This window comes from Homo sapiens, chromosome 3 (assembly GCF_000001405.40).
Source record: "Homo sapiens chromosome 3, GRCh38.p14 Primary Assembly".
Taxonomy (NCBI): domain Eukaryota; kingdom Metazoa; phylum Chordata; class Mammalia; order Primates; family Hominidae; genus Homo; species Homo sapiens.
Genome location: NC_000003.12, coordinates 110,724,957 through 110,748,522, shown reverse-complemented (window position 1 = coordinate 110,748,522; position 23,566 = coordinate 110,724,957).

Genomic DNA, 23,566 nt, shown 5'->3' with positions numbered 1-23,566 from the left:
GTAGTTTATTTGCATTTCTGTTACAATTTTTTTGGCATCTGTTTTTCTAATTTATCTGATTTTCAAGCTGCTTGCGGCTTATACACTAGAGAATTTCTTCAAAACCTATACTTAGTCAATAATCACCAAATTGGTAATTTTCCCATGAGTAGTTTCAGGTTTACAATTTAAAGATCAATTTATTTAACTGATAGCTGCTTTTCTAATTAGTGATGCCTTGTCATTTAGAGGCAGATGTTTAAGAAAATTAGCGTTGGATACAAAAGAGCATAAACCAACACACATTTTCAACATTTTAAGCTCACCAAACACTTACCACTTTGGATAATACTGGAGAAAATTATGAATGAATTATTAAAATTTTTGAAATACAAAATATCAGCTTCCTAAACATTATAAAGTACATAGTGTGGCATGATAAAATGGCTATATTTTAAAATAAATGTGACTCTCATTTCAAGTACTTACAGTAAACCGACCTGCCAGAATTATTAACTGAGCAACTACTATGAAAAAAGTAGTGTGGGGTAGTGGAAAGAAATGGGTTTTTCCTTTAAACTGTTCTTGATTTGGATCTGGGCAAGCTGTGGAACTTCCTAATACAGTGTTTCCAAATTTATTCATATTTCTGAACATAACTTCTCTTGTCATAAAATAATGGTAATAATACTCCCTCTATAGGGGATTAAATAAGATTATCTAAATAAACTGCTTGTCACAAAGTAGCTGGTCAATCTCAGCCTGCCACTGCCGTTCACCTGCTTTTCTCAATGCCTTTCTGAGCTATAGCAAAGAGAAATGATAGATTACAAATTAAAATTACTGAGAGTTATTTGAAATGACGTTTGTCATGATCTACTCCTTAATTCTTTTTGTTTTTCTTAACTCACTCATTTATACATTATGTATTTCCTTTTTTCATTTTCCTTTATTTTATTTTTTAAAACTTTTAGGTTCAGGGGTACATGTTCAAGTTTGTTGTACAGGTAAACTCATGTCATGGGGGTTTGTTGTACAGATTTTTTCTTCGCCTGGGTACTAGACCTAGTACCCAATAGATATTTTTTCTGATCGTCTCCTTTCTCCCACCCTCCAACTTCAAGAAGGCCCCAGTGTCTGTTGTTCCGCTCCTTATGTCCATGTCTTCTCATCATTTACCTCCTACTTATAAGTGAGAGTATGTGGTATTTGGTTCTCTGTTCCTGCATTAGTTTGCTAAGGATAATGATCTCCAGCTCCAGCCATGTTCCTGTAAAGAATATGATTTTGTTCTTTTTTATGTCTGCATAGTTTTCCACAGTGTATATGTACCACATTTTCTTTATCCATGGGCATTTGGGTAGATTCCATGACTTTGCTATTGTGAATACTGCTACAATGAACATCTGTGTGCATGTCTTTACAGTAGAATGATTCATTTGTATATATATATATATATATACCCAGTAATGGGATTGCTGGGTCAAATGGTAGTTCTGTTTTTAGCTCCTTGAGGAATCACCACATTGCTTTCCATGATAGTTGAACTAATTTACACTCCCACCCACAGTGTATAAGTGTTTCCTTTTCTCTGCAACCTCGCCAGCATCTGTTATTTTTTGACATTTTAATAATAGCCATTTTCACTAGTGTGAGATGATATCTCATGGTGATTTTGATTTGCATTTCTCTAATGATCAGTGATATTCAGCTTTTTTAACAATATGCTTGTTGACTGCATGTATGTCTTCTTTTGACAAGTGTTTGTTTGTGACCTTTGCCCATTTTTAACGGGGTTTTTTTTTCTTGTAAATTCGTTTAAGTTCCTTATAGATGCTGGATATTAGAACTTTGGTTTGCAAATATTTTCTCCCATTCTGTAGGTTGCCTATTTACTCTGTTAATGGTTTCTTTTGCTGTGCAGAAATTCTTAACTTTAATTGGATCCCATTTGTCAGTTTTTGCTTTTGTTGCAATTGCTTTTGGCATCTCACCATGAAATCTTTGCCAGTTCCCATATCCAAATGGTATTGCCTAGTTTGTCTTCCAGGATTTTATAGTTTTGGGTTTTACATTTAGGTCTTTAATCCATCTTGAGTGATTTTTGTCTATGGTGTAAGGAAGGGGCCCAGTTTGAATCTTCTGTATATGGCTAGCCATTTACCACAGCACCACTTATTGAATACAGATTTCTTTCCCCATTGCTTGTTTTTGTCAACTTTGTCAAAGATCAGATGATTGTAGTGTGTGGCTTTATTTCTGGGCTCTAGATTCTGTTTCATTGGACTATGTGTCTATTTTTGTGCCAGTACCATGCTGTTTTGATTATTGTGTCTCTGTTGTACAGTTTGAAGTCTGTAATGTGATGCCTCCAGTTTTGCTCCTTTTGCTTAGAATTGTCTGGCTATTCAGGCTCTTTTCTAGTTCCATAGAATTTTTTAATAGTTTTTTTCAAGTTCTGTGAGGAATGTCCTTGGAAGTTTGATAGGAATAGCAGTTAATCTATAAATTGCTTTGAGCAGTATGGTCATATTCTTTCTACACATGAACATGGAATGGTTTTCCATTTGTTTGTGTCTTCTCTGATTTCTGTGAACATTGTTTTGTAATTCTCATTGTAGAGATTGTTCACCTCCCTGGTTAGCTGTATTCCCAGGTATTTTATTCTTTTTGTGGCAATTGTGAATTGGATTGCATTTCTGATTTGTCTCTCAGCTTGGCTGTTGCTGGTTTATGGAAATGCTAGTGATTTTGGTATGTTGATTTTGTATCCTGAAACTTTGCTCAAGTTGTTTATCAGCTGAAGGAGCTTTTAGGCCAAGATGATGGGGCTTTCCAGATGTATTAATAGAATCATGACATCTGCAAACAGGGATGGTTTGACTTTTCTTCTTCTTATTTGGGTGCCCTTTATTTATTTCTCTTGCCTGATTGCTCTGGCCAGGACTGCCAATACTATGTTGAATAGAAGTGGTGAAAGCTGGGCATCTTTGTCTTTGTTGGTTTTCAAGGGGAATGTTTCCAGCTTTTGCCCATTCAGTATGATCTTGGCTGTGGGGTTGTCGTAGATGGTTCTTATTATTTTAAGGTGTGTTCCTTCAATACCTAGTTTTTTTGAGTTTTTAGCATTAAGGAATGTTGAATTTTATAAAAAGCCTTTTTTGCATCTATTCAGATAATCAGGTGGTTTTTGTCTTTAGTTCTGTTTATGTGGTGGATCACCTTTATTGATTTGTGTGTGTTGAACCAACTTTGCATTTCAGGGATAAAGCCTATGTGATCATGGTGGATTACTTTTTGATGTGCTTTTGGATTCATTTTGCAAGTATTTTTGTTGAGGATTTTTGCATGAATGTCCATCAAGGATATTAGTCTGAAGTTTGTGTGTGTGTGTGTGTGTGTGTGTGTGTATGTGTGTGTCTGTTCCAGGTTTTGATATCAGAATGATGCTGGCCTCAAAGAATGTGTAAGGGAGGAGTCCCTCCTCCTCTATTTTTTGAAATAGTTTCAGTAGGAACGGTACCACTTCTTCCTTTTATATCTGGTAGAATTTGACAGTATACATCATATATTTCTTAAGTGCTTACAATTTGCCAGGTAATGTTTGATAAATGGAGGCAATAAGGAACACGGTGCTTAAATTACTAGCTGAGGTCATAAAGTTATTTTTGTCTGACTCCAGTCTAGAGCTTTTATTCATTGTACATGGTGTATAGCAAGAAAAAACAATCATACAAATAAAACAAGAAGGAACTCTGTAAAATAATACATAATAATAAATGGTTGTAAGATAAAATAATAATATAATAAAATAAATAAAATAATATTAAATGGTTGTAAAATAATATGCAATTGAAATCAAACCCGTTACCCATAAAGTTTGAGGATCTTAACAAATGGATTGACCAATCAGGCTGGAATAGGATAGGAGCCAATGGGCTTTGAGACATGGAAGACACAAATGTTTCTTACAGGGAAGGCATGGAGGCAGGAAATTGCATGATCTTATCTAATGGTGAAGTGGCCCAGCCTAATGAATAGAAGGTCTTATTATAAAGTCATGTGAAAGAAGGTTATTAGGTTCAGGTAAAATTTGACTTAGAGGACCTTGAAAATTAAACAGAAATGATTTTTCATAATAATAGCTATTATTTATTCCACATTAACTGTGTGCCAGGCATTGTTCTAAATAATGTGTTAAATCATTTAATTCTCATAGCAACATTATAATTTAGATATTATTATTATTCATATTTTACAGAGGAAAAAACTGAAGTACAACAAGTTTAAATCATTTGACCAAGGCCTTATGGCTAAGATGTTGCCAAGCTGGTGTTTGAATTCAAGCAGCCTGGCTCTAGAGTCCATACTCTTATCACTACTGTTATAATACTTGATAAGGTATAGTGCAGGTAGAAAATGAAAGTTTTTGATCAAGGGATGGACACAAAGCTTACATGCACACTTTCTAAATTAAAGTATATATATGTATACACTTTAATATATATAAATTAATATATTATTTAATTAATATATTAAAGTATATAAATGTATATGTATGCTTTAATTTAGAAGACTGTGTGTGTGAGAGACAGTGTGTGTGTGTGTATACCCTTCTATATAGAAAAAAGTGGTATATTGGAGAAAAGTAAGGGTCAGGGATTCCAGGAGGTATTTCAGTATGGGTCAATAGCTACATGGCCTAGGATGGTCTTATTAGAATGGAACATTTGGGAGCTTTTCTATATGTGCATTATAAGAAAGAAAGCAATTCTAAATTGCCCCAAGATATCAAGGCTGACTGGCTGGAAGAAGGATGGTGTCATTGACTAAAATGGAGAAGTTAGGGCAGGTGGCAGTTTTTGGGAAGAACACAATGAACTTGGCTTTATGAATACAGAATTTTATTTAGTGTGTGAAACTTTGAGGCTGGCATCTAGAAAGAATTGAGAGATGGATACCTGAGTTTGGGAGTCATTAGCAAAAAGGTGATAGGGAAAGTCATGAGAATAGATCCACTGTCTAAGGGAGAGACTGTGAAGAGAAAAGAGCAGATGGCAGAAGGAGTAGGTTAATTAGTAACACCAACTAATGGCTAACCAAGGGTTTCCAAGCGAAGTACCTGCCAGATTTGTTTAAACAATAGCTCTTTAACTGTGTTTACACAAGTAATTTGCTTAGGCAAACCCTTTCTTCCCCTCCCTCCTCCACCACATAGTTTGTGCAGAGTGGGGTAACTTTGGATCAGTTACAACAATAGAAAGTTAATAGAAACAAAATTAATAAAAACAGCCAAATAAATGCAGTTTGTACTGAATATACCTGATACCCACCTTTCTGGCCATCACCTTTCTCTTTTAACTGAGTATGTTTTGCTCATCTCCCCAAAGGACCATACTATTCTCATTTTGCACCTTATTGCTCCTAAAAGCTTCACTTTATTTTTTTACCTAAAGGACAATTAAAAGAAATTCAGTGGCTCAGTGTTTTACACATCATGGATTTAATAGGTCTAATTTATTTAGGAGCTTACATACACTATATTTTCTTTTTTTCTCCTTAAAATAGTTACAACAGTCTCTTACTCATTCTGAATTTTATAGCTCTTAGTTTCCTCTGGAAACAGTTCACTTCCTGTATCATTTTTTTGTTGTTGTTGTTTACCACCATTTTATCCTTCACTCTCCAGTTTTAAGACACACAAAAAACATTTATTGACACTTTTTGCTTTTCTGCTAGGAATTAAAAAGTATTTACATATAGAATAAACTTTCATTTGATATTCTATATGTTATTCTATATCATATTCTATATGTATATATAATAATTACTTATTTTATTCCAGTACATAATCATTTAAATTGACTTCTTGCAACTGATTTTCCTGAATTAAGCATATTCTATTAGTAAAAGCTTAATTTACTAAATGTCACCTGAAACTGTTATTTTCAGATTATATAATATATATCCTGATTCTTTCCTTTTTTTCAAAAAAAGATTGACACTAGGTCTTTCAAAAGTGCCCATTCTATCTTTTTTGTGACCCTCTGTAAATCTTTGATGATACTTGGTTAACACATGTAGCTCAATAATTTTATTAATAAATAACAATTTGTCATATTACTATGATTTTGAACTTAATTACTGAGAAGTGAACCCCAGATTTCTATTCTTTGTTTCAATCTTACAGAATGATTTTCAACGTCTTCTGATAGAGCTTTAGCCAAGCATCTGCCTCTTTATAATCAAATTACTTATAGGGCCCATGTCCTTTGTTTTCTTTTTTATCAATTCCAGATGGGGAGGGCTCTATTTGGCCCATTCATCATGAAGAGCTACCTTAACCTCCCGTAGGATTTCAGATCACAGGGCTGGAGGCACTGACAGTAAGGTCCTCCTAAAGGAGACGTGCCACCTTTAGCACTTCTGTGTGTGCTACAAATCTCTGCAAACTATGAAGAGGTGGAGCTGGACAGAGCTTGTATATCTGCCAGCTTAGGCTTTGAAATTTGTTGATGCTGGTCTTTGATTGGAATCCTCTGGTTTAAAGCAGCATTTTCCAGAATGTATTCCTAAATGCTACAGTATATTAATAAATGTTACAAATAAAAAGTTTCACATAAAATTCTGGATTAAACGATGTTGAGTGTTTGTCTTTGCTTTCTGATATCTCAAAGCCTTCAAATACACTAATATGTATTGTAAGACTCCATGAAAAAAACAATGTGTCTTCTGCATCTCAAACTGTTTTGTCTCTTCTTGTATATTAGAAGGCTATTTCCTTAGACTACATTTTATAAAGTGCAGGCCTGGGTTATAGATTCCAATATAAACATTTTTAGTGGGTTGATTACTTTTTTTCCATTAGCTTTCCTTCATCCTAGGTTAACATTATGTAATCTGTTTAGCCTTTTAAGTGTGAATATTTGAATGGTGTTTTAAATTTTTAAAAATTAAATTAACGCCTGTAATCCCAGCACTTTGGGAGGCCGAGGCGGGCGGATCACGAGGTCAGGAGATCGAGACCATCCCGGCTAAAACGGTGAAACCCCGTCTCTACTAAACCTACAAAAAATAGCCGGGCGTAGTGGCGGGCGCCTGTAGTCCTAGCTACTTGGGAGGCTGAGGCAGGAGAATGGCGTGAACCCGGGAGGCGGAGCTTGCAGTGAGCCGAGATCCCGCCACTGCACTCCAGCCTGGGCGACAGAGCGAGACTCCGTCTCAAAAAAAAAAAAAAAAAAAAAATTAAATTAAAAAATTCTGATGACCGAGAAGAAAATGGACCGTAAGGTCTAAAGACGTTATTGTAGAAGTCTAGGCAATAGATTATAGTGTCATAGGGAAGGGTGGTAATTATTGAGGAGGATATATTTTGGAAATATAATTGACAGGAATTACTTATGGATGGTATCTAGGGATACACTTGTGTTTTAGGACCAATCAAATGAATGGATGAAGGTGTCATTTACTGAGATGGGGAATATTAAAATACGCAGAGCTTTGGTAGAGAGAGTATCTGTGGATCAAGATTTCTGATTTAGTAATGTAACATTTGGGTTGCAGGGCAGCAATCAAATGGAAATGTCAAGCAGAAAGTTGGATGTAGAAGTCTGGCCTTATTGCAGAGGCCATACACTGAACAATATATTTGGAATCCATTAGCATACAGATAACACTTAACTTCGTAAGACTGTATGATATTACCTAGGTAGAACATTTAAAACATGAAGGAAAGAAGGCCCATGGCTGTGCCTCGAGGTCAGACTCTCCCTACCTTTTCACAGGGATTAAAAACTGTGGCTACTCAAAGAAACTCCAACTATATTCTAGAGTCGGCTCTGTCTTAGCTCTTATGTTCTTTAGGCTCCTTAAGACTCAGGTAAACAGATCCTGAGGAGAGGTTCATTACAATCAGCTTGTGGGGCTTTCTTTAGTTTTCTGGAAATTGATGTTAGGAGACCTTAGAGGGTATAAGCCAAACTATTTGAATATCATATTCTTCCAAATGAGCAACTCTTGAGGGGCTGAGCTTAGGTGTATTAGTTTCCTAGGGTTGCTACTACAAAATAACACAAACCCTATGACTTAACAAAAATTTATTATCTTACAGTTCTAGAAGTTAGTTTGAAATCAGCATGTCTGCAGGGCCATCCTCTCTCCAAAGGCTCTAGGGGAAAATCCTTCCTAGCTTCTGGTGGTGGCTGTTAGTCCTTGGCATTTCAAGGCTTGCTGCTGCTGTGTGTTGATCTCTGCTTTCATTTATTATGTGGTATTCTCCCTAGGTGTGTCTGTATTGCTGTGTCCATTCTCCTCTTCTTATAAGGACACCAGCCATTTTGAATTAGGGCTTACCCTAATAACCTCATCCTAAGTTGATTATATCTGCAAAGACCCTATTTCCAAATGCAATTATATCCACAAGTTCCAGGGGTAAGGACTTCAACATATTTTGGGGGGAGTGGGGCACAATTCTACCCATAAAAGTTGATATGGAGATAGGACTCAAGATGTAGCTAAGTGTTAAGAAAACATCCCATCATTATCTTGACATGAAGACATGGACCCAGCTTTGGTTACTGCAGAATTCTCACAAATTCCACAAAGGAGGCTCCATTCCTTCAAAGAGGACTCTGACTCTTAACACTGTAGCAGAATAAGATGTTGTTATGCTTTCACCCTTGGAAATTTATTTTGCCCCATAATACTTTTTCACTGAGGTAGCTAGACATAACTCATAAACTTTATAAGTAGATAAAATAAAAAGAACCATCATTTATCAATTGACTTTTATACTTCAGAAACTAAGGACCTTGAATAAAACAATAGAATTGGAAGAATAGTTTCTCATTCCAAATTTTTTCTAAATTAGAAACAGATAAAAATTTTATTATCTGGGAAAGAAGTGAAGAATTCTAGAAGACAGTAATATATTAAAACTGAGGAGAAAAAGCAATAGAAGAAATTGCTGGTATGGATGTCTGAAAGGAGAACCTACCTCTGCCTCCTTGGGTTGTGAAAGCAATAGAATTTCCACATAGATTCAGGGATATGAGAGTAAAGGAGACCTGTACTCACTTAACTTGGGACTCTGGGTGTGACAGCCTTGAAGATTTTCTTGCTTTAACATGATGTGGAATCTCCATAAAAGATAGTTCAAGAGGTCTTGAACAGAGAAAGCCTAAGATAGCCTCAGAGTGTATAAGCAATATTTTCTGTAAATCTGAGAAGGGTGAAAATGGATAGCTGAGAAGGCAAACTGGTAGACTTGATAAGGTCTCGGGGGAAGGATGATGGGTAGGCTATTCAGCTAGATATCAGGGGAAATGTGAATAATCCTGCAGTTGCTGGCCTAAGGGGATAGTGATGATGGAAGAGACAATGTGATACATCTTTCGTTGAATGCCAGAGTGGACAGACAGCTCCCTGGGACCAGATAACCAAATAGCTTGGTGTTATGAAGCCTGAGGAATGCAGATGAAACTTCATGGGAAAAAAATAGAGAAGACTCTGGGATGTTATGGAGTGAACTCCAAACTAACCAGGATTACCTTTTCTACTACTGGACAGAATGCGGCCTCTAGATACGAACTAAATTCATTTATAGAAAAATAAAGTTAACTCCATTTGTTCCTTTGTGAGTTTACAGTCTGAAATGTCATACCTACTAAACCTTTGCAATAAAGTTTTTCCCAGTATACAGATGAGCCTCAAGGCACTCTGCAATAGGACACACCTATGGATTAGATAATAATTCCCTGGGAAACAGGGCCAGATTTCTGCCATGATTATATCTCAAGTGCATGACATAGTAATGTAGGATGCTGTGATAGAGGACATACTTGCTGAACAATGAATGAGTAATTGGATGTCTGTTCTCTAGCTCCAAAGGAATCCCATAGCAGAGTAAAATGAAACTTACTACATATAAGAGGGCATGTAAGGCAATGACAAATGAAGCTAGTCGGTACCATTAACCTTCTCAAAGAAGTAGCCAAGACTCTGGAGTTTTGTATATACTGGCTCAAAGAGTAATAAAATGCCCCTCAACATTTCTGAGCCCTAATTTTCTCATACATATCACAGTGATGGTTTAATATTTCTTTGACTTCTCTCTAGCTAGGTAGTTTAAAATTTTTGTTAATATAGTATAAAATATATAATATAACTAACATTTGTGGTAAGCACAAGGATGTTAAGTTCAGCTTTTTACGTATTTAATCTCATTTAAGCGATGCAGTAATTCTAGGAGGTAGAATTACTCTTCTTTCCATTTTTCAAAAAAAGAACCTATGTCTGAGAGAGGATTAGTAACTCAGAATCCTATAGCTGGCTAGTTCTAAGACATAAACCCTGGGCTTGCTTTTGGCCATTGTGCTATATTGCCTCCAAACCGTGGAAAATACACAGGTACATCTCATTTTATTGTATTCCACAGATATTAAGTTAATTCTTTTTTTTAACAAAGTGAAGGTTTGTGGCAGTCCTGTGTTGACCAAGTCTATTGGCACCATTTTTTTTTTTTTTTTTTTTTTTTGAGACGGAGTCTCGCTCTGTCGCCCAGGCTGGAGTGCAGTGGCGCGATCTCGGCTCACTGCAAGCTCCGCCTCCCGGGTTCACGCCATTCTCCTGCCTCAGCCTCCCGAGTAGTTGGGACTACAGGCGCCCGCTACCACGCCCGGCTCATTTTTTGTATTTTTAGTAGAGACGGGGTTTCACCGTGTTAGCCAGGATGGTCTCGATCTCCTGACCTCGTGATCTGCCCGCCTCGGCCTCCCAAAGTGCTGGGATTACAGGCGTGAGCCACCGCGCCCGGCCTGGCACCATTTTTTTAATAGCACATGCTCACTTCATGTGCTTCGTATATCTGTGTCACATTTTGATATTTCTCACAATATTTCAAACCTTTTTGTTATTATTATACTTTTATGGTGATCTATGATCAGTAATTTTTGAAGTTACTATTGTCATTGTTTTAGGGTGCCACGAACCATCTCCATATGAGATAGCAAATTTAATCAATAAATGTAGTGTGTGTTCTGACTGCTTTACCAACTGGCCATTCCCCCATTTTTCTTCCTCTCCTTGGGCCTCCCTATTCCCTAAAGGCAACAATATTGAAATTTGGCTAATTAATAACCTCACAATGGCCTCTAATTTTTCAAGTGAAAGGAAGAGTCACACGACAGACTTTTTTTATTTTTTTGAGACCGAGTCTCGCTCTGTCGCCCAGGCTGGAGTGCAGTGGCGCGATCTTGGCTCACTGCAAGCTCCGCCTCCCGGGTTCAGGCCGTTCTCCTGCCTCAGCCTCCCAAGTAGCTGGGACTACAAGTGCCCGCCACCACGCCTGGCTAATTTTTTGTATTTTTAGTAGAGATAGGGTTTCACCGCGTTAGCCAGACCGCATTAGCCAGATGGTCTCAATCTCCCGACCTCGTGATCTGCCCGCCTCAGCCTCCCAAAGTGCTGGGATTACAGGCGTTGAGCCACTGCACCCGCCCACACAACAGACTTTTAATCAAAAGCCAGAATGATTAAGCTTAGTGAGGAAGGCATGTCAAAAGCTGAGATAGGGCCCAGTATGGTGGTTAATGCCTAAAATCCCAGCACTGTGAGAAGCTGAGGTGGTAGGATTGCTTGAGACCAGGAGTTTGAGACCAGCCTGAGCAAAGTAGTGAGACTCAGTCTTTGTTAAAAAATAAAAAATTTAGCTGGGTGTGGTGGTGTGTGCCTATAGTCCCAGCTACTCTGGAGAGTGAGGTGGGGGGATTGCTTGAGCCCAGAAATTTGAGGCTGCACAGCACTCCAGCCTGGGCAACACAGGCTGGAAGAAAAGAAAAAAAAAAAAAAAAAAAAAACAAAGCTGAGATAGGCTAAAAGCTAGGCCTATTGCACCAATTAGTTAGCAAAATTGTGAATGCAAAGGAAGAGTTCTTGAAGGAAGTTAAAAGTGTTACTCCAGTGAACACATAAATAAGGAAGTGAAACAGGCTTATTGCTGATATGAAAAATGTTTTTAGTGGTCTGGACAGAACATCAAACCAGCCACAACATTTCATTAAGCCAAAGCCTAGTGCAGAGCAAGGCCTTAACTCACCTCAGTTCCACGAAGACTGAGAGAGGTGAGGAAGTTGCAGAAGAAAAGTTTGGAGCAGCCTTCTATTGCAAGAAGATGCCATGTAGGACTTTCATAGCTTAGAGAGGAGAAAGTAATGACCAGCTTCAAAGCATCAAAGGGACAGGCTGACTTTCTTGTGAGGGGCTAACACAACTAGTGACTTTAAAAGCCAGTGTTCATTTACCATTCCTAAAATCCTAGAGCTTTGAAGAATTATGCTAAATCTACTCCACCTTTGCTCTATAAATGGAACAAATCTTGGCGAGAGCACATCTCTTCATAGTGTGGTGTACTGAATATTTTAAGTCCCCAGTTGAGATACACTACTCAGAAAAAAGATTCTTTTCAAAATATTACTGCTCATTGACAATGCACCTAGTCACTCAAAAGCTCTGATTGTGATGCACAGAAGATTACTCTTGTTTTCATGCCTGCTAACAGCACATTCACTCTGTAGCCCATGGATTAAGGAGTAATTTTGTCTTTCAAGTCTTATTATTCAAGAAATACCTTTGTTAACACTATAGCAGCCATAGATAGTAATTCCTCTGATGGATTTAAGCAAAGTAAATTAAAAACCATCTGGAAAGGATTCACCATTCTAGATGCTATTAGGATATTTTTGATTCATGAGAGGAGGTCAAAATATCAATATTAATTGGAGTTTGGAAGAAGTTGATTCCAACCCTGATGGATGACGTTAGGGGGTTCAAGACTTCAGAGAAGAAAGTAAGTGCCAATGTGATGAAAATAGCAAGAGAATTAGAATTAGAAGTGGAGCCCAAAGATGTGACTGGGTTGTTGTAATGTCATGATCAAACTTGAATGAATGGGGGGAGTTGTTTCTTATGGATGAGAAAAGAAAGTGGTTTCTTCAGAATAAATCTATTCCTAGTAAGGATGCTGTGAATATTGTTGAAATGACAGCAAAGGATTTATAATAGTTCATAAACTCACTTGATAAAGCAGCAACACGTTTTGAGAAGATTGAATCCAGTTGCAAAAGTTCTGCTGTGCATAAAACGCTGTCAAATAGCCCTGTATGCTGCAGAGAAATCTTTCATGATAGGAAGAGTCAGTCAATGTAGCAAATTTCATTGTTGTTTTATCTTAAGAAATTGTCACAATCACCCCAGCCTTCAGCAACCACCACCCTGATCAGTCAGCAGCTGTCAACATCGAGCAAGACCATTTGCTAGCAAAAAGATTATGCCTTGCTGAAGGCTCAGATGATTGTTAGCATATTTTAGCAATAAAGTGTTTTTAATTAAGGTATGGACATTGTTTTTTATACATAATACCGTTGCATACTTAAAAGACTATTGTATATTCATTATATATATATATACTATATAGAGAAACATAACTATTATATGCACTGAAAAACTAAAAATTAATGTGACTTGCTTTATTTTGATATTTGCTTTATTGCATTAGTCTCGAAACAAATCCCCAATATCTCCAAGGTTGGCAGGTATTTGGAAACCATTTGCTTTTAATTTTTTATTTTAAAATATCAAGTACTCAGTATTTTAATAACCCCTCTAGTATCCACCTGCTTCAGTTGTTGCCATCTCCCTTTTTATCCCAGGCTATCTTACATGACAGAGAGGGGCAGAACAGTCCTGCCAAGGTAATAACTGCAAACCAGGGAATCTATTGAAGCCAGTGAGGGCAGAGAGGAAAATTGCTGCCAAGAGAGGTCACTGAAACCTATCTGTGATTGTCCCGTTCTACTGATTGCAGAGCTCGGTCTTGCTGACCATATCTAGGCTACAATAAGCGCTAAAGAAAGCTTAATCATTCCTGCAGAATTCTTTTGGTCAGACCAGTTGCTTATGGAAAGCATTAAACAAACACGACCTTTTAGCTCTTGGTATTATCGGTGCTGTTGAGGTGGCTACTCCACTGGTGCACATATCTTTCCTTCATCCTTATTATAGCTGGCTTCAGGTGCTATTAAACACTGAGTATCTAGTTTGCTGAAATGGATAGAATAGGATTTTAAGACACTACTTCATGCAATATTTATATCCCCTTTTTCTTCCTAGCTCAAAATGGGACTTTAAAATTGCCTACTGCCTTGTTTCCAACTTCACCTTGTGCATTGCTCTACCGTGTTCCCTACAATGTACAATTCCCAGCAGGGCTATAACTAGATATGAGATCATTAGGCATATATTTCTGAAAACCTGCCCTCCCTACAATGTTATGAATCTCTCTATTCCAACTCAGTTGGCTGAACTGTCCTCTTTTTTCTGAGCTCTCCCTTCCCTACTTATCCTGAGGGAAGGCAGGCATGTTCCTGAGGGTGAAATTCTGTTGATAGAATGAGAACTGTTCTCTGAACATGATGTGAATGCTTTATCACTTGCAGTCATGCTTTAGGTTTCCCCATACATGAAAGGCCTCTGCTTCCAATATTCAGTGCTTGGTGAGAATACTGGAGATGATTACCCCCTCCAACTTGCCCCACCCCTTTGTTAAATAGTCTTTTCTGCTCATAGTGTAGTTGTAGACTAGGGGTCAGCAAATGACAGCATGAGGAACCAATCCTGCCCCATCCCTATTTTTGTAAATAAAGATTTATTCGCACAATTTACAAATTGGCAATTTACAAAGGAAAGAGGTTAAATGGAGGACTCACAGTTCCATGTAGCTGGAGAAGCCTCACAATCATGGCAGAAGGCAAGGAGAAACCAGTCACATCTTATATGGATGGTAACAGGCAAAGAGAGCTTGTTCAAGGAAACTCCTCTTTTTAAAACCATCATGTTTCGTGAGCCTTATTCACTATCATGAGAACAGCACAGCAAAGACATGCCCCAATGATTCAATTACCTCCCACCGGGTCCATATCAGCCCCTTTACAGAGAAAAATTTACCATTCCTTGGTGTAGACTATTGTCATGACCCTCATTGTGCACTATTTCCATAACACAAATGACCAACACTCACTGGACAGAGAGACAATCTCCTCTAGAGAGCTTGTCTCTTCTAATTAGGTTCTCTTCCCCGGGGAACTTGTGATGACAGTAGTCAGGTGGTCCATTTGTAAGTGAGTCCATATCGAAATTAAAGAATGAAGCCAATCTGTAGAGAGAAATAGATTTTAGATCTTGCTTCCCTGAGAGAGCAAAAAGTTGAAAATAGCAGGTGTGTTGGCTTCTGCTGACTTTCCTGTTCTTGGTTCTAGTGTCTCACAAAGCCCAGATGCATATTTTGACCTTCAGTTTCAACAGATAACCCCGTATGCTTTTTATAAATTTCCCTTTTCCCTTAAGCTCATTTTGTGACTGAATCAGTGAGTTTAGGTCTTAGGTATGCTTAGGGTTTTCATTCAACATCCTTTCTTTTATGAAGTTTGCCTCATTTTCCCTTGGCTACACAATTCTTCTCTTGGACAGCAAAACTCAGGGATATAATATCTGACAGCAACATGAATTAGATTGGGGCATTGATTCCTGTAGAGAGAAGAGAGGGTGCTGGTGGGAGAATAGGGTTAGGAAATGACTGCCCTGTGATAATTTGGGACTTTCTCCATGCAGAAATGTACAGAACATTTTGCTATCTTTACTTTTGTGTTTTTGTGATGGTAGAGATGAAAAAAATTTTTTTTATTAGCTTCACAATAGCATGGTCCTGCTTGATTTTTTCCAATTTAATGTTTTTGGCCTTACTAATCCTGTGATTTTATTTTATTTTTTTAGTAGTATGTGGATTCTCCAAATGCATTCCCAAAAACGCTGTACAGGGAAGAGAAAACAATTTCTGGACTTTGGAAGGCTTTTTCAACATCTAATTCACATGATAAACAACAGAGAAAATGACACTTTGATTTAGGCTGATAAATGTGATGTCCCGTTACCAGACCTTTCCTTTTTGCATTGAGTTCATTAATAATTTACTTTAAAATTTCGACCTCATGAACTATTTTAAAAATAAGCAACACAGCAAACAACAACCAGTAAGATCATTACGAGGTGCAGTTATTAAAATACCTTTATTCAGTCTATTCTTTTTTTAAAATTGGGTGTTGTAATCTTTCATCCCTAGAGGCAGACATCTGATGAAGGCACAGCTTGAAAAGAAAGTGATAAAATTTAGAAGGCAGAGTAGTTACTGATCTCTGGTGCTTTCAAACTTTTGCAGGATTAACAGAACTTATAATTTTTCTTCTCTGTGACAATAAGGCACTGCCTCCATAAAATGCTTTAAAAACAATTAATGCTTTACTTAAAAAGTTTTAAGTATTACTTCATGGGTTGTTGAGAACCATAAAGTTAGATAGAGAAACGGTACACTGGCTAGTTAAGAAACCATCAGCTATCCCAAAGTTTATATAACATCTTCCTCAGCTAGTAGAATACTTTGTAATGCAGCATCCTGTTAACTTGAGAAACGATAAGACTCTTGTACTCACGTTATTTAAAGTTTTCAAAAATTCAAGCTGTAGGTCACCTGACTTTAATATATCTTACAAATTTTAAGATGTGTATATTTGTTCTGTTCAGTCTTTTCTTTACTCTTAGTAATTTTAGGTAATGTTCCAAAGGTATTTGTATACCTTATATTTGTCTGCAGATTATTTTAAAAATGTTTTACAAATACATAGTGTCTTCTGTGTGTTAGGCACAGTCGGACATAAGCACTTTATAAATACCAGCTCATTTAACTCTTACAACCATATGAAGTGTTATTATTTGTCTACAGTTGAGAAAACTGAGACACAGAAAGATTAGTTTGTCCAGTACTGACTTTACTGTGTCAGTAAAGTGGAGGATCCAGGATTTGGAGCTTAATCATCCAGGTTCAGAGTTAACATTTTTGACCACTCTGGTTGTGTCAAATGCTTGCATTAACTTTGTAGAGAGTTGCAGATTTTACTCCTAAGAAATTGCCTCTTACATTTGCCTTTAGGGTCAGAAACAAGCTTTTTTTTATTAATAAAACATCACATCAAGGAAAAACCACTTTTTATCAGTGAGATCTCCTTCTCAGGGGTTCAGCCGTCAACTGTTTCTAACCACACTACTCTGCCCTGGGTAGAGGAAGAGATGAAACTGGGCTGCAGGGAGCCAGTAACATGTACAAGGTCAGTGCCAATTCCAAACTCAGGGTGATGCAACTTACTCTTTTCAAAGGACAGATTGAGGTTAGGGCAAAATCATCTGTTGAGTAGTCCTCTATTCTAAACTACTTTTCTGGGTAGTTTAGAAATATCCTATAATATGACAGAGAGGGGCAGAACTACTTTTCTGGGTAGTTTAGAATGGAGGTAGATTTACTTTAATCAACCCAATTTTCTTGCATTACCACAATAGCTTGAATTCGCCATATGATATAAAGGCAAAAGTGCCCAAGGTCTTAAGAAAAAAGCTTGTTTCTGAAAATTTTCTCCAACAACAAGAATTGTTTCACTGTTTCATTAATTTAATTTTTTACCATTATAAATTTAAAAACTGTTTATTTGACTTAAGTTTTAGTTGCACATGTGGCTTATTTGCCCTTTCCTAAGAAATATGTAGATACTGGAATAATCTCACTTTTTTTTTCTTTCTTTCGTTTTTTTTTTCTCGTTCCTTCCTATGCTCCCTTCCTCCTCCTTGTTTCTTTCTTCTATTCAAGGAAACAAATCCACTAAATCTCTACTGTGGCCAGGAACTCCTTTTAACATTAGGGATAACAAGGTGATTTAGGTCACAATACTCACCGTTAAGTAGTTCCAAGACTCATGGGAGAGACAGACATCAAAACAAATAAATGTAAACCAATAAAATGAACCCCCAAATGGGGACATTCCCAGTGACTCCTGCCATGGGCGTCCCTCATGCCAGGATTCTACACTGAAAAATTAACAGATGAATAAAGAAAACAGATAGGCAAGAGTAGAGTAGAGGGAAGCCATCACCAATGCCTGGTATCAAAGGAAACCCATGAGTGGAGTTGGACAGTGTTAATCTCAAGATCCTGAGGTGTTCCGAAGAAATAATTATGAATAACTGGAGGAAAAAGGTGTTGGAGGTTTATTTTTCTTTTCTTCTGCTTGACGGAGTCTTGCCATTACAGAAGTAGAACTTGTTGCGGAACTGCTTCCTTATTTAGTTCAGCTGAAGACGGGGTCTTTATCACACCGCCATGAAAATTTAGGCTCGCAGACTATTTGAAGAGTGAGAAAAATGGGATTTCTTGGGCAAAAGGGAAAAAAAGGGGGAAACAGAGACTCTTAGCAAAGCGACAGCGTGTGCTTCTTGCCCTTGGGCTTCCCTCCTGGCCAATTGAATTCCAGGTTCCACCCAGGAAGAGGAAGGGCAAGTCCTCCCTGCTGCAAATGGTGAGAATTCTGTGGCTCCACCCCAGTGTGCGTTCCTCCCAGTGCACAGGTTGGTTGGAGGCTCTGCCAGGGAGCCCTTCCCACCTGGTTATCTCAAAATGACAAGATTGCCACGCGGAACTTGTGTCTGCACTACCGATGCTGGGGTGCCTAGGACATGAAAGGAGCACACAGTAGGTAGTGATTTATTCTGCCCATGAGAACTTGAGAAACTTTGCTAACAGGGTTGTTTGTTGCTGGAGGTTGGCCTCGTAGACTAATAAATAGCAATTCTCCAGGAAGAGAGTTGGGAAGTGGGAGTGGAAAGAGTGATAGATGTTAGAGGAAAATCCGTGCATGGTAAATTTTAAAAAGGCTGACTTGTTCTTTTGACTATAGTTGGACTATAGACTCCCTCCAGACCCTGTTGTTTTGATCTGCCTACCTCTCTCTCCTACTTCAATCATGTCCTGTGTTCTGGTGGGGCTGTCAGTTGCAGCACTCCTTCGCTCCTCCATGGGGGAACCAATGACTCAGGAATAGCCAATCAAAATTCTTTTTCCCCTGGCCACAGTGATTCTGTAGAGGTGCTTGGATGTCAGAGTCTGCCTATTTGACTTCACACTCCAGCCCTGCCATGTCTCAATTTGGTGATTTTGGGCAAGTTACTTCACCTCTCTAGGCTTCAGTTTCCCCATCTCTAAAATGGGGATGATAATTGGGTTGTTGTGAGGATCAGATCACTTACATGAAAAGTAGGTGGAATCGTGCTTGGAACATGGTGCACACTCTCCATGTGGTAGCATTTTTCTTTTTTGGAGTGGAGGAAGAGGTGTTCTGCATTTTTGGTCAAGGAGTTGGAAGAAAATGAGATAGGGTTGCTGACAGACAGTTATTCTGCCACAGGGAACAGATTTTTCTGCACCAGGAGTAAATGAGGCCAGCATCTAGTGATCAACAGTATCAGGATAGCCATTCATCCACTAATCTATTCAGTGTCTTTCTATGTATTGACATTTATTTACCTTTTGTGGGACCAACAGGTTCTTTGACTAGCTTGGGTTGGATTTATGTCACTTGCTACTGAAAAAGACCTGAATGAGTCACTGTTTATAGAAGGGCATTACAGAAAGTTGAGGTAGAATAGGATTAGTTGGGGAAGGGTTGCTGAGTCTGGAATTGATCCTTTAAGCCATGGTATAGCATTAACGTTTTCAACAGGAAATAGCACAATCAGACATGTATTAAACAAGAAAACTCTGTTTGCTCTGTTGAGAGTAATATTGAGGCTTTTTCATACCTGTAGTTCCATTTGTGCATATTTCAAAATTATGCTATGATGCTGTAATCAGACCATTGCTGTAATAAAGGGAGTTTCATCCCACATGACACTATACAGAGATTAACTGCATTGATTCATTTTCTTTAAAAGCAACAGTGATAAAATTAGGTGCATAGAGGGGTAAGACTTGACTTAAAAAGGAATTGCCTTTCACATGTAAGAGTGTTTGGCGTTCTCATGCGAAACATGGAACATTTACACAATGTTATGCTACCAGGCTGAGCTGCTTTGGAAGAATTTGTGGAGAAGAGGTATGTGTTTAGGCCCTGTTTTAATATTTCAATATACTTCTAATCTAACTTCAATTTCTCCTCTGTATTAGTCTTCCTGATAGAACCTTCTAAAATAGTACTCTGAGCATATCACTTTCCTTACTGAGAAGTTTTAGTGGCTCTCTTATCTATTGACTAAAATACAAGATCCTCAGCCTGACTTTGAGGTTACAATCTGGTTTCCACGGCAGTTGGTTAAAAAGTATTTTATGGAGTGCCCACTGTGTGCCAGGAATAGGCTAGAATATCTCTGTCTAAAAGAAATTTAATTCAAGTCACATATGTAATTTAAAATTTTTTAGAAGTCATATTGAAAAGTTAAAATAAATGGGTAAAGTTAATTTAAATAATGCATTATATTTAATCCAACATATACAAAATATATAAAAGATCAAAATGTAATCAATATGAAAATTTGTCAAGGAGCTATTTATATTCTTTTAAAATAAATATTAAGAATTCAATGTATATTTTATACTTAGCAGCACATCTCAATCAGATTGTAAATTTTCATTGAAAATTACTTATTTATTTATTTATTTTGAGATGGACTCTGGCTTTGTCTTGCCCAGGCTGCAGTGCAGTGGTGTGATCTCAGCTCACTGCAGCTTCCGCCTCCCAGGTTCAAGTGATTATCCTGCCTCAGCTTCCCAAGTAGCTGGGACTACAGGAGTGAGCCACCACACCCGGCTAATTTTGTATTTTTAGTAGAGAGGTGGTTTCACCATGTTGGCCAGGCTGGTCTCGAACTCCTGATCTCAGGTGATCCACCTGCCTCGGCCTCCCAAAGTGCTGGGGTTACAGGCATGAGCCACTGCGCCCAGCCGAAAATTACTAATTTGTATTTAGACTTCATAACATGCACAGTTGAAAAAGATCTACATATCTAAGTAGTTCAAACATACTTGAAATTTTTCAATAACTGAATCAAGTAGCAGTTTTAAAATTTAATTTTAAGTTAAATTAAAAGTTCAGTCCCTTAGTCTCCCTAGCCACATTTTAGATGTCACATGTATCTCATGGTTGCTGTATTAAACAGCATAATTCTAGGAGCACAGGCCCTGCACTCATGGAGTTAACATTAGCTCTCCTTTCCAGCTCTATCTTCTATTTTTTCCTACAATGCCGAATGGATTGTACCTGATCTCAAGACCTTTGCTCATCTGTTCGAGGTAAGCTTGTTTTGTCCTTCAAAAGACATACCTCTTATCTATTGAAATTCTATCTACCTTTACAGCTAAGCTCAAATGTCAACCCACCCAGGGAAACTGTTCTCAATCATCTAAGCAAAAAATGTTCTGCATTCTCTGAACTTTTGTAGCACTTGGATTACATCCTTCTTTTCTTTTTTCTTTTCTTTCTTTTTCTTTTTTTTTTTTTTTTTTGCTAGTCAAGTGGAGCATTGGGAGTGGGGAAGGAACAAAGAATCTGTAACTGGTTGTGGTAAATTAGTTGTAAACACCCTTGCACTTCAACCAGCTGATTACACCTTCCTTTTGACACTAATTACATACTACTTTGTGGGCCTTGGAGTCATATAAACCCAGGTTTGATATCTGGTCTTGCCACTCACTGGCTGTATGATCTTAGGCAACTTCCTTAACTTTTCAAAGCTTCATTTTCATCATCTGTCAAATGATGAGTTTTCTCATTATCTGTGCAGTTTTAAAGATGAGTTTTACTACAACTTAATGGAATTGTTGAGGTGAAATAAAGTTGAAAAAGTGCTTAGTTCAGAATTCAACCTATTAGGAGGGTGTGTGTGTGTGTATATACACACACACACACACAGACATACATACATATACTATGTATATATTTGTATATGTATGCAAGTATATATAAGTGCTGCATATATATGTATGTGTGTATACATATATATGTGCTGCATATATACACACATACATATATACTACTAATAGATTGAATAGTATTATATAGTAGTGTATACATATACCACTAATATATATGTGTTTATATATATAATACACTACAATGAATATTATATATTAGTAGATATTTACAGATATTTTCATTTTTATATATATTTAAATACAGTATTATACTAATTATAACATTAGTATTAATAGTATATACACACACAGACATATATACACTCTATCTCCCTAAGTACAATAATTTACAAATTGTAATAATAATGATACTGATAATATTAATAAGAAGTTTATGTTAGGCACTGTTTAGTAGCTTTACATATTCTATTCAATGCGCCAAACAATTATTTTGAGGTACGATGAATTATTATCCTCATTATACAGATGAGAGAACTAAAGCAAAAGTTGATAAAGTGGCTTGCCTAATGTCACACAGCGAGAAATGAATGTAGTTTGTATTTAAATCATAGAAGAGATAGAATATAGTTTGAATATATTTTATTAATATTTTATTTCATGTAGTTTTGGAAGCTGTGTAGAGGAATCAGCAAAGCATTTGGAATCAAACATATTTGATTTTGAATGCTGACTCTGTCATTGATTAAAGATGTCTACTTTGGTAGCCTATTTAATCTCTCTGAGCCTCAAGTTCTTGCTCTGTGAAATGGAATAATAAAACCAACCAGGAAGTATGTAAGGTAGGGGTTAAGTACACAGTGCTTGCCTGCTTAAATTCAAGTTTCACCTTTGAAATTCTTAGCTCTACAACATTTAGTGAATTACTTAAATTCTGTGCTGCAATTTTCTCATCTGAAAAATGGGAAAAATAATAATGTTAAATTCATAGGTTTGTTTTAAAACTTTAAATGATGTAATCCAGAATATCTGAATGATGTAATTCAGAATATCTAGAAATAATAAACACTCAAGAAGTACTAGCTATTATTACTCTTCTAAGGTTGGTTCTCACATAGGTAGAACACTAAAAACATTTAGTTAACTTTGTTTTCTTCTTTCTATCCTTCTTTTTCCTTGTATGTAATTCATACATTATAATACTAGATCTTATATACACTATGTACTCAATAACTAGTTAACTGAATGGAGTCTCAAACAGCCTTTTGTATTATTTGTATTTTACATGAGCACATTGATATTATTTTCTGAAAGTGTAAAATAATTGCATGCAAACTACAGATAGTAAACTGTTACTAGTATGTACTACTTTACATTTCTCTTGGGCTTGCAGCAATTTTAGTTATGTTTGAGGCATTTTGAAATTCAGATGCATAAAACTTCAGGTTATTCAGTCAATGTAGTACCCTGTCTAATTCTGATAATCTTAAATTAGAATATCTTTCAAAATCAACTGCAGTACAACATTGTACTGAAAATGAATTCATAAGGAAAGCAAATATTGTCATAGGCAATGATAAAAGGATTTGAATAATGTAAAATGCTACAGCAGAAACTATAGAGGTGTAGTGAATATTATACATATTGTTCTTTATTTTTAGTTCTTAAATATGACCTTCCTTCTCTTCAGAGCCCCTTTTATTGCACTTCCAATTTCATTTAGCAATTGCTATGGTTTGTTCAATCTCTGAGCAAAATTGTTCTCATATTTTAAAAAATCTGAATTTCTCTATT